General features: G+C 44.3%; 1 protein-coding gene across 16 annotated transcripts in view; it reads right to left on the reverse strand.

Annotated features, from left to right (window-relative positions):
- Positions 1-12,766, reverse strand: part of DNAH3 (dynein axonemal heavy chain 3) — a 226,349-nt gene that overhangs the window by 53,130 nt on the left and 160,453 nt on the right. For 14 of the 16 annotated variants that reach the window (XM_017023432.2, NM_017539.2, XM_047434349.1 and 11 more), the window contains 4 exons: positions 11,043-11,222; positions 1,702-1,825; positions 1,453-1,609; positions 1,065-1,208 (listed from right to left, as the gene is read on the reverse strand). In XM_017023432.2, coding sequence (XP_016878921.1) covers positions 1,065-1,208; positions 1,453-1,609; positions 1,702-1,825; positions 11,043-11,222 — 605 coding nt within the window. Of the gene's footprint in view, positions 1-263; positions 998-1,064; positions 1,209-1,452; positions 1,610-1,701; positions 1,826-11,042; positions 11,223-12,766 lie in introns of those variants that run through there. The other 2 variants (XM_017023429.2, XM_017023428.2) reach the window with 2 other exon arrangements.

Here is a 12,766-nt window from a genome sequence, read left to right on the forward strand (position 1 = left end):
ATGCCTGTAGTCCCAGCACTTTGGGAGGCCGAGGCAGAAGGATCATTTGAGCTCAGGACTTCAAGACCAGCCTGGGCAACATAGTGAGACTCAGTCTCTACAATAAAATAAGAAAAAATTAACTGGGCATCGTGGTGCACACCTGTAATCCCAGCTACTCAGGAGGCCGAGGTGGAGGACTGCTTGAGCCCAGGAGCTTGAGGCTGCAGTGTGCTATGATCATACCATTGCACTCCAGCCTGGGTGACAGAGTGAGGTCCTACCTCTAAAAATAAATATTTTTTTTGTTAAAAGAAAGGACATTAGAGTATGAACGCTTTAATCAGTCTATTTGCCATGTGATTAAAACATTGGTGATCAGTTTGTACGGTCCCCAGAAAAGACAGTTGAAGGATGTGCTTTTCTTAGGTGCTTGATCCTCCACCAAATAGAAGTATAGACACTATCCTGGTCCCCACTCTGTGCCTGGAGTAGGAACGTTTTAGATGCCTCCTCGTCCTATGTTAGAACCCAGTGACGCTTTTGCACTTGGCCTCTGAACGCAAGATAAAACACTTGAAATTTTTCTATGGAGAAATCACAGCTTCTTAGCAGTGGAAGAATAACCAGATGATAAAAATATAGATGTTTAAAACAACTTTTCTTATATGGAAATGGAAAAGAGAAAATATTCACACCTGGAAAACCATAACAATCTTTCACTTGAGCTTTATAGGACCTCAGTCAAATCATGACAATGTACAGTTCATTTCTCAACTCACCAATTAATTGATCCTAAAAATGCATTTTAAGTTCATAATAAACATTCATTTATAATGAACTTAAAATGCATGTTAAGCCATTTTGAGTGGATTCAAACTTATATGTTACAACAGAAGGGAAGCAAAGTTGGACCAAGTAAAATATCACCAAGTCAAAAAGAGCAGTTGACTCAATACTGTTTCCCGAGATTCAGAGTGCAGAGCTGGCAGTCTCCAACAGGAAGGGAACCTGAAATCTGAAAGTAACGTGGTTAAACACTTGGAACCATTTCTGAGGTCAAATGATCACAGAATCTGGTTTACCTTCTCTATGGTCTGCTTGAAGCAATTGGAGGTGGTTTCCTTCACCATGTTGAAAAAGACCTGTCTGTCCTCCTTGTCAATCAGACGATCATAGAAGACCCGATAAACCTCATGGATCCAAAGCCGGATACATTTTTCTACATCCTAAAAATCCAGAGTTAATTATTCAAACGAGTGGAAGATGGTCCCTGAGGTGGTAGTTCTCAGTAGTAGGTAAGTCCTGGGGTTGATTTGAGGATTGAACTAGATAATGTTTATAAAATGCTTAGCACAATGCCTAGCATAGACTAAGTGCCTAATAAAAGTTAGCTATTACTGCTATTACTACATGTTCTATGTAGCCAAGGATATGCTGAATGATCTTGGTAGTAAAATGATAGTGGCTGACCTGCAGGTGTGTGTGAGGGCACAGCAGGACCCCTTGAATCACTCGTGAGAAGTCCCGCAGGTTAAAGACGTAATGTGACTTCGAGGGAGTTGGCAAGAAGTTCTCCACTGCATCTCTATAAATTGTCTTAGTAGCTTGGACCAGCATCTTTCCGTACCTTGGGAGGAAAGGGATGGCACAGTAGTCAAGGAGGGGCCAGAAACTGAGAACCCCCAGCCCACTATCCAGGAAGACAGAGAAACCTCTTACCTTAAAAACATCACATCAAACCCTTTCCCGAAGTGCCAGTCAACAATCGAACTGAAAATCTTGGTTAAAATGTCATCCTCAAAGGCATTGATGGAAATGATATTCAGATGGCGAGTGAATCGTCCTGGGGAATACAACACACAAGTGAATCATCCTGGAAAACACATATTCTCACACTGTCTGTGACCCTAGGATGCACACGAGGTGGCTTTGCCTTCTGCCTTCATGTTCCAGAGCTGTGCTGTGCAATATGGCAACCTCTAGCCACCTGCAGCAAATTTAAACTTAAATTAATTAATATTAAATAACATTAAAAATGCTCTTCCTTAGTCTCACCACACTTCAAGTGCTCAAGAGCCACATGTGGCTAGTGGCTACCGTATTGCTCAGTACAGATATAGAGCATCTCCATACTGCGGAAGTTCTACTGAGTGCTAGTTTAGTGCTCATTATTATATCATATCATGTTGTATTATATTACATTACTTTTTGAGATGGAGTTCCCCTCTGTTGCCCAGGCTGGAGTGCAGTGGTGCCATCTCAGTTCACTGCAACCTCCGCCTCCCGGGCTCAAGAGATTCTCCAGCCTCAGCCTCCAGAGTAGCTGGGACTACAGGCCTCCCAGAGTGCTGTGATTGCAGGCATGAGACACCGCGCCCAGCCTCAAGAATGTTTTTAAAAGATAAAGGCAATACATGATCATTGTAAAAGAGTCTATCAATTCAGGAATACTTTTGTTGAAAGTGAAAATCTCCTTTTGTGTCCGGAATTGGTGGGTTCTTAGTCTCACTGACTTCAAAAATGAAGCCGCGACCCCTCGCGGTGAGTGTTACAGCTCTTAAGGTGGCGCGTCTGGAGGTTGTTCCTTCTGATGTTCGAATGTGTTCGGAGTTTTTTCCTTCTGGTGGGTTCGTCATCTCGCTGGCTCAGGAGTGAAGCTGCAGACCTTCGCGGTGAGTGTTACAGCTCTTAAGGCGGCATGTCTGGAGTTATTCGTTCCTCCCGGTGGACTCGTGGTCTCGCTGGCTTCAAGAGTGAAGTTGCAGACTTTCGCGGGGAGTGTTACAGCTCATAAAAGCAGTGTGGACCCACAGAGTGAGCACCAGTAAGATTTACTGCAAAGAGCGAAAGAACAAAGCTTCCACAGTGCGGAAAGAGACCCGAGCGGGTTACCACTGCTGGCTCGGGCAGCCTGCTTTTATTCTCTTATCTGGCCCCACCCACATCCTGCTGATTGGTAGAGCCGAGTGGTCTGTTTTGACAGGGTGCTGATTGGTGCATTTACAATCCCTGAGCTAGATACAAAGGTTCTCCTCGTCCCCATCAGATTAGTTAGATACAGAGCATCTACACAAAGGTTCTCCAAGGCCCCACCAGAGCAGCTAGATACAGAGTGTTGATTGGTGCACTCACAAACCTTGAGCTAAACACAGGGTGCTGATTGGTGTGTTTACAATCCTTGAGCTAGACATAAAGTTTTTCCAAGGCCCCACCAGAGCAGCTAGATACAGAGTGTCGATTGGTGCACTCACAAACCTTCAGCTAAACACAGGGTGCTGATTGGTGTGTTTACAATCCCTGAGCTAGACATAAAGGTTCTCCAAGTCCCCACCAGACTCAGGAGCCCAGCTGGCTTCACCTAGTGGATCCCGCACCGGGGCTGCAGGTGGAGCTGCCTGCCAGTCCCGGGCGGTACGCTCGCACTCCTCAGCCTTTGGGTGGTCGATGGGACTGGGCGCCGTGGAGCAGGGGGTGGTGCTCGTCGGGGAGGCTTGGGCCGCACAGAGCCCATGGAGTGGGTGGGAGGCTCAGGCATGGCGGGCTGCAGGTCCCAAGCCCTGCCCCGCGGCAAGGCAGCTAAGGCTCAGTGAGAAATCGAGCGCAGCACCGGTGGGCTGGCACTGCTGGGGGACCCAGTACACCCTCCGCAGCCGCTGGCCGGGTGCTAAGTCCCTCATTGCCCGGGGCCGGCAGGGCCGGCCGGCTGCTCCGAGTGCGGGGCCCGCCAAGCCCACGCCCACCCGGAACTCCAGCTGGCCTGCAAGCGCCGCGCGCAGCCCCGGTTCCCACTCGCGCCTCTCCCTCCACACCTCCCTGCAAGCTGAGGGAGTGGGCTCCGGCCTTGCCCAGCCCAGAAAGGGGCTCCCATAGTGCAGCGGTGGGCTGAAGGGCTCCTCAAGTGCCGCCAAAGTGGGAGCCCAGGCAGAGGAGGCGCCCAGAGCGAGCCAGGGCTGTGAGGACTTGCCAGCACGCTGTCACCTCTCACTTTCACTTACCTTATACGCGCCAAATCCATTCTCCCCTGCTAATTTGGTATCCTTATATCATCTATCTGTCTAATCTATCATCTATCATCTTTCTGTGTATCTATAGATCTATGTATCTGTCTAATCTATAATTGTTAGATATCTGTATTTATTTATATAGATATATACCAGCTTTATTGATATCCCAATAATAACTCACATATTGTACCATTCACCCATTTAAAGTACAATTATTCAATGATTTTTAATATATTCAGGGTTGTGCAACCATTATCACAATTTTAGAACATTTTAATCGTGCTAAAAAGAAACCTTGTACCCATTAGCAGTCATTCCCCATTTTCCCATGGTTCTCAGCAACTAATAATCTACTTTCTGTCTCTATAGGTTTGCCTGTATATCTTTAAAACATTTTTTTGTTACAGGTAAAAGATACAGAAAACCACACAAAACAAATGTATAGTTTAGTAAATCATTATAAGGTTAACACTCTTAGCATCTACTGTCAAGATTAAGAAATAGAATTTTGCCAGCCAGGTGTGGTGGCTCACTCCTGTAATCCCAGCACTTTGGGAGGCCGAGGCGTGCAGATCACGAGGTCAAGAGATCGAGACCAGCCTGGCCAGCATGGTGAAACCCCCATCTCTATTAAAAATACAAAAATTAGCCAGGCGTGGTAGCGGGCACCTGTAGTCCCAACTACTCGGGAGGTTGAGGCAGGAGAATTGCTTGAATCCGGGAGGCAGAGGTTACAGTGAGCCGAGATTGTGCCACTGCACTCCAGCCTGAGCGACAGAGCGAGACTCTGTCTCAAAACAAACAAACAAAAAACAAAACAAAACAAAAACAAAATAGAATTTTGCCAGCCCTCCACAAAAGCCTCTCGACAGAGCCCATCCTAAACTGTCTCCTTTTCTTCCTCCAAAAGTTATCACTCTTCTGACTTTTATAGTAATTGCTGTCTTGCATTTCTTTATGATTTTTACCATCCAAGTGTTTATTTGTAGACACCAGGGTTTAATTGTTTAATTCTGCCAGTTAAAACAACCACATGCCTTTTTTTTTTTCTTTTCTGAGATGGAGCCTCACTCCCATTGCACAGTCTAGAGTGCAGTGGCACGATCTCGGCTCACAGCAACCTCCACCTCCCAGGTTCAAGTGATTCTCCTTCCTCAACCCCAAGTAGCTGGGATTACAGGCATGCACCACCATGACTGGCTAATTTTTGTATTTTTAGTAGAGATGGGGTTTTGCCATATTGGCCAGGCTGGTCTCAAACTCCTGACCTCAGGTGATTCACCCGCCTCGGCCTCCCAAAGTGCTAGGATTACAGACGTGAGCCTCTGCACCTGGCCTCATATGTATTTCTTAAGGTCTCTTTTTAATTTATAGTTTTTTCCCTCCATTCCTTTCTTACGTGTCTTATCCGTTGAAGATCTGGGCTGTTTGACTTGTAGAGTTTTCACAGTCAGGATTTTGTTGATTACATACTTATGATGCAGTTTATCACGTTCCTCTGTCCTCTGTATTTCCTACAAATTTGTAGCTGGATCCAGAGACTTGTTGGGATTCAGATTCCATCCCTTTGGCCAGACCATAGGTGGTGGTGTGTTCTTTCATTGGAAAGTACTCAATAATGTTTCTCCTTTTGTAATGTTGGTAGCTACTGATGCTCAATGGCTACATCCATTAATTCACTGGGGTTTGCAAAGTGGTAATATTCTGAGTCACTTCTTTTTCATCTATTAGTTGCAATATTTTCATGAGATACTTCCCCTCATCAACCACTATTTGGTTATACAGTGGTACATTTCATACAAGAAAGTCAGGGTGTCAGAGAATGCCTGATTCTTTCCCATTTACTTATCAGTTTCCAAGATAACGAGTTGGTTCCTTATCATTTTCTGTAGGTGACCAACTATTATTATTGTTATAGACTCATGGATTAAAATATATTTAGATAAATTTCAATCCATTGAAATCACTACCATTGTTGAAGCTTAAATTTTCTCATCTTTGGTGAGTGAAAGCCTCTTTATGTTGACAACCAAGTCCTTTTGATGTGAGTCCGGTAATCTTTGATAGCTTTCTCATTATCTGGTATATCAAGACTTTACAGGCTTATTTCATATATTTATTTTTATTTTTATTTTTTGAGATGGAGTCTTGCTCTGTCACCCAGGCTGTAGTGCAGTGGTGGGATCTCGGCTCACTGCAAGCTCCGCCTCCCGGGTTCACGCCATTCTCCCGCCTCAGCCTCCCCAGCAGCTGGGACTGCAGGCGCACACCGCCAAGCCCGGCTAATTTTTTTGTATTTTTAGTAGAGACGGGGTTTCACCGTGTTAGCCAGGTCGATCTCCTGACCTCGTGATCTGCCTGCCTCAGCCTCCCAAAGTGCTGGGATTACAGGCGTGAGCCACCGCTCCTGGCCTATTTCATATATTTCTTACCCCAGCAGACATGCAATCAGCCATTTCTTTAAGATGTCTTGGTTTCTTTCAGCAGGAAATTGGATTTCAAGACTACAATCTGAGTAGTAGACATGTTCATTGTTAATAAGGTGGTCATTATTTCTTTAGATCTTTTCAGTGGACATTAAACATCAAGTTCAAATTTAGGACTATAAAACTTTTGCCTAACTTCTTTTTTTAGTTTTTGTTGTTGATTCATTCGTTGAGACAGAGTCTCACTTTGTTGCCCAGGCTGGAGCGTAGTGGTGTGGTCTCAGCTCACTGCAACCTTTACCACCCAGGTTCAAGCAATTCTCATGTTTCAGCCTCCTGAGTAGCTGGGACTACAGGCTTGCACCACCATGCCTGTCTAATTTTTGTATTTTTAGTAGAGGCAGGGTTTCACCATGTTGGCCAGGCTGGTCTCAAACTCCTGGCCTCAAGCGATCCACCCTCCTCGGCCTCCCAAAGTGCTGGGTTTACAGGTATGAGCCACTGCCCCCAGCCCTAACTTCCTATGTATTACATCTTGACCTCCTTTTTTCCACCCCAAGACTCTTGGTTCTCAAAAACTCAAGGGATAAGATAAATAGAAAATTCTACGTTTTCAACTGTTCTATATCTACATCATCAAATAATATACTCTTTACATAATATCACCTCTCCATTTAGTCTTAGTTCAACAAATAACCATATATTTAATGCTTACTACTAGTTATATCAGTCTCTCCACAGTCATTTTGATTACCTGAAATCCATTTTCTAGGAGATTCCTGAGAAATGGCTTAAAAAAATAATAGTCTCTGAGTTTGTGCATGTTGATAACAATTTTCCTTTAATACTTGAAGATTAATTTTTCTGGCTATAAAATCCTCAACTCTCATTTTATTTCCTTAAGTATCTTAAATGTGTTATTCCATTTTCTTCTGGTATTAAGCATTGCTACTGAAAACACTTAAAGTTGATCTAACTTTATTTCCCATATAAGTTGTGTGCTATTTTTGTCTAGCTGCCCAAAAGTTTTTTTCTTTTTTTAAATTTTTGAGACAGGGTCTTGCTCTGTCGCCCTGGTTGCAGTGCAGTGGTGTAATCATAGCTCACCGCAGCCTTGACCTCCCTGCCTCAAGCGATCCTCCCACCTTAGCCTCCTGAGTAGCTGGGACTACAGGCACATGCCACAACACCTGGCTAATTTATTTTTCTTGAAAGCCCACTCTTTTATGCTGTTTATTAGCGTATGCCTTGGTAGTGATCATTTTGAGTCAATATTCTTAGGTATACAATGTGCTCTTCCAGTATGTAATTCTCAAAATGTTTTTTTCTTATTTTATTGGATTATATATTTTGTATTATTTCTTCTATTTCTTTATTTTGATTTTCTTATTCAGATACTTCAGACACTTCATGTTGGATTTTCTTTGTAACTTCAATATTTGTCATTTTCTCTCAAATCCTTTTAATCCTTTTCTTCATTTCTTTTTTAAAAAATGGCCTGGCGCAGTGGCTCACGCCTGTAATCCCAGTACTTTGGGAGGCCGAGGTGGGTGGATCACCTGAGATCCAGAGTTTGAGACCAGCCTGGCTAACAGGATGAAACCCCGTCTCTACTAAAAATACAAAAAAATTAGCCGGGCATTGTGGTGGGTGCCTGTAATCCCGGCTACTTAGGGAACTGAGGCAAGAGAATCACTTGAACCCGGAGGCGGAGGTTGCAGTGAGCTGAGATCATGCCATTGCACTCCAGCCTGGGCGACAAGAGCGAGACTCTGTCTCAAAATATAAATTAATTAATTAAATAAAAAAATAAAAAGTTTTTATTGTGATAAAATATATGTAACATAAAATTGGCCATTTTAACCATTTTTAAGTGTACGGTTCAGAGGCATCAAGCACATTCACGTTGTCGTGCAACCATCTCCACCATTCATCTACAGAACTTTCATCTTCCCAAACTAAAAATCATTCATTCATTCAACATTCACTCCTCAATCTCCCCTCCCTCCAGACTTTGACAACCACTTATTCTACTTTTTGTCTCTGTCAATTTGACTACTTTGAGTACCTCGTATAAGTGGAATCATACAGTATTTGCCTTTTTGTGAATGGTTTATTTCACTTAATGATATGGTTTATTTCACTTAAAGACAATAACATCTTTAAGTTTCATCCATGTTGTAACATGTCTTTTTTTTTAAAAAAATCCTCCTTTTATTATTATTTTTTCCTACAGCATTATTTGCCGTGTTTATTCTTTCTTGTGTTCCTCCTAGTTTTTGGTTTCATTTTTCTTCTCTTTTTTTTAGAGACAGGGTCTCACCCAGGTTGGAGTATTGTGGTGCGATCTTGGCTCACTGAAGCTTTGACCTCCCAAGGTTCAAGCGATCCTCCTGCCTCAGCCCCCTAAGTAGCTGGGACTACAGGTGCATGCCACCATACCCAGATAATTTTTTGTTGTTGTTGTATTTTTTGTAGAGATGGTGTTTCGCCAAGTTGCCCAGGCTGGTCTCAAATTCCTGACCTCAAGTAATCTGCCCGCTTTGGCATCCCAAAATGCTGGGATTACAGCCGTGAGCCAGAGCCCGGCCTTTTCTTTCTTTTTTTGAGACAGAGTCTCACGCAGGCTGGAGTGCAATGGTGCAATCTTGGCTCACTGCAACCTCTGCCTCCCAGGTTCAAGCAATTCTTGTGCTTCTGCCTCCCAGGTTCAAGCAATTCTTGTGCTTCAGCCTCCCGGGTAGCTGGGATAACAGGTGTGCATCATGCCCGGCTAATTTTTGTATTTTTAGTAGAGATGGGGTTTCGCCATCTTGGCCAGGCTGGTCTCGAACTCCTGGCCTCTTGAGATCTGCCCACTTTGGCCTCCCAAAGTGTTGAGATTATAGGCATGAGCCACTGCGCCCAGACTCTCTTGGTTTCTTATATGTTCAAAAATATAGTGAGTTGCTTTCTGAAAATTTCCGCCTTTTTTCCCTCTCTCTCTTTTATTTGGACCTTCTCTTTGCTTTGTTTCTATTCATCTTAACCTTCTCCATTCTGATTCAGCTACCAGCAATTTCTCTTCAATATAGGGTCCTGCCTTGGAAGGGGACACCTGACTGGTCAGTTTTGAGAAATCACGGGGGCTAGCATCCCCTTCAGAGCTCACCATGGGCTGGGTCACTGCAGTCACTAGTTTCAGCAGGTGAAAACCCTGTAAACTTCAGCTTCTCCTCTCACATGGGCCAGCACACTTTGCAGTGCAAACCTGCTGACTAGCTTTTGGTTCTTCCTCTCAGGTCCATTCCTTCCCGCTGCGTTCTCCTGCACAGGTGCAGATAATTGCACGTCTTGCAGCTGTCAGTGGTTTGCTGTCACCCAATTTGTATTTTGGAATCTGTGGGGATACCTTGCAAACTAGCTTTGTTGTAAGTGTTGTTTATAGCTTTCTGGTTTTGCTACCTAGTTGCTCTGTTTTTATGTGACGATTTGGGAAGATCTGAAAACTGTGCAGCCTTTGTGGCTGCCATTTCCCTGAAATTCTTTCCATAGTTTTTTATACATACATGTGTTAAAAATCATGTAGATAATATAATACATATATATGTAGCTAGCATGTGTATATACCATCTACACACACACATACTGATACGTGTAGATTTTTCTCTACATTAAATTATATGTTGTTGATCTGGAACTATTGGTAGCTATGTGAACTTAACCTTTTGATGATAGGGATAACAGTAGTTAAGGTTTATTAATGCCTGCTTTGGGTTACTCAACCCCAGACCTGTGTCAGCTGCCAAACCATGCTCTCAGCTACCATCCTTAACTTTTTTTTTTGAGACAGAGTCTCATTCTGTTGCCCAGGCTGGAGTGCAGTGGTGCCATCTCGGCTCACTGCAACCTCTGCCTCTTGGGTTCAAGCGATTGTCCTGCCTCAGCCTCCCAAGTAGCTGGACTACAGGCACAAGCCACCAAGCCCAGCTAATTTTTTTATTTTTAGTAGAGATAGGGTTTTGCCATGTTGGCCAGGGTAGTCTCGAACTCCTGGCCTCAAGCGATCTACCCGCTTCGGCCTCCCAAAGTGCTGAGATTACAGGTATGAGCCACTGCACCCACTCAGTATGAAGATTCTTAACCAATAATGTATATCAGAATAGAAGTACAGATCTATAGGACTGGGTGGATCAAGTTGCACGTGAAGCAATATATCCACTGATTATTTATTTGCTATTTTTATTGTTATTAATTTTGCTTAGGGCACTTTGGGTTAGGCATTCTGTCTCTGGCAACCTAAAGAATTATAACGAATACAATGGATGACTGTCATGCACCCCTAGTTGAGGCTTCTGGATGGAGCCTCCCTCCCGGAACACATGCTGGCCACACTGAACTCTCCTTTTCCTATGAGACTCTCTGTTTCTCTAGGGCCTAGCCAAACACTCCTCACATCTTCTTGCCATCGTCCCCTTCTATTTCACACAATTTCCAACATGAAGCCTGTAGCCTACACATGCTTCTGCTCCATGCTCCTGCCACGTGGTTTGGCAGGACAGACTGTGGCACACCAACCCACCTTTCATAAAGGTGGCCCAGCTCTGCTGGGGATGGAGGGAAAGAGGAATGAGCTCTTCCCTTCACATACCAGTAATGTCATTCCTTCCTCCCCCGGGGGGCCCCATGGCTGTCACGAGCAGCATGTCCACGATGTCCAGCCTGGTTGTGTCTTTTTTGTCAAACCAGTAACCATGGTCAATCCACTGCCTCAGGAGCTCGATGGGTGGCTGGGCCCCATACACCTCTTTGGCTGGCATGTTGAGGTCATCTGGGGAAAGAAACCACAGATACAGCCATTGCAAGTTCATGGCATCTTCTGCTCTTACAGAGGTAACAGATGGCAATTCCCCTGTAGGGGAATCTGTTCCCAGGTTTCCATTCCCCATTCCAGTTAGGGCTTAGTCAATGGATGCCCTGACCAGATTGGAAGGGGTTTTCCTGAGTTCTGGGCTCTCCTGCCTCATTGAGATCTCTGTCCACGTGACTATAAGGATGCATAGACTGACATTAACAAACTGGCTTGGCCGGGCATGGTGGCTCATGCCTATAATCCCAGCACTGTGGGAGGCCGAGGCAGGCAGATTGCTTGAGCTCAGGAGTTCGAGACCAGCCTGTGCAACATGGCGAAACCCTGTCTCCATAAAAAAAAAAAAAAAAAAAAAAAATTAGTCAGGCATGGTGGCTTATGTCTGTGGTCCCATACTCAGGAGGCTAAGATGAAAGGATTGTTTGAGCCTCGGAGGCAGAGGTTGCAGTGAGCCAAGATTGTGCCACTGCACTCCATCCAGCCTGGGCAACAGAGTGAGACCCTGCCTCAAAAAGAAAATAGAAAAGACGAGAAAAACAAAAAGAAAACAGGCATTTAATTTTTTCCCATTTCTGTCAAGCAAAATAGATTGTCTACTATGTGCTAGACATTTTGTTAATTCCTCCCCATATGATGGCAACAGTCAAGCTCCCAGCAAATAGAGTATTTAATTTGACCAGCAGGTAATAGTTGAACTTCAATGGGAGCAACAGATGATGAGACCCTAGGCCTTGAGCTGGAGTTTTTTGTTTGTTTGTTTTGTTTTTGTTTTTGAGACAGTCTTGCTCTGTCACCCAGGCTGGAGTGCAGAGGTGTGATCTCAGCTCACTGCAACTTTGTCTCCCAGGTTCAAGTGGTCCTCCTGCCTCAGCCTCCAAGTAGCTGCGACTACAGGTGTGCACCACCACGCCCAGCTAATTTTTGTATTTTTAGTAGAGACGGGGTTTCACCATGTTGGCCTGGCTGGTCTCAAACTCCTGACCTCAGGTGATCCACCTGCCTCAGCCTCCCAAAATGCTGGGATTACAGGCGTGAGCCACCACACCCAGCCTGAGCTGGGGTTTTTGATGAGAAAACCAAAATGACAAGAATATATTAAGACTTCCCGAAGGGCAGGGACTCATTTTCCCCAGTAGTATATTACTCAGTCCTGGCACATCAGAGGCACTCAATGAAATGGGGGCTCTTCGAGATCGCACCACTGCACTCCAGCCTGGGGGACAAAGCAAGACTCCGTCTCAAAAAAAAAAAAAAAAAAAAAAGGGGGGGGCTCCTTTAGTTTTTCTTCAACAAACAATTGTTTGAATGCCCAGTTTGTGTGGGGTAACATTTTAGGAGCTTTATATACATTATCTCATATAATCCGATAATAACTTTATAAGGAAGATAGTATTAACTCTATGTTAAAGATGAGGAACTGAGGGTCAGGGACGTTAACTCACAATATACCTAGGGTTAAAAAGTAAGCTTTGAAGTTGGGCATGGTGGTTCACACCTGTAATCCC

Source organism: Homo sapiens, chromosome 16, assembly GCF_000001405.40.
Source record: "Homo sapiens chromosome 16, GRCh38.p14 Primary Assembly".
NCBI classification, from domain to species: Eukaryota; Metazoa; Chordata; class Mammalia; order Primates; family Hominidae; genus Homo; species Homo sapiens.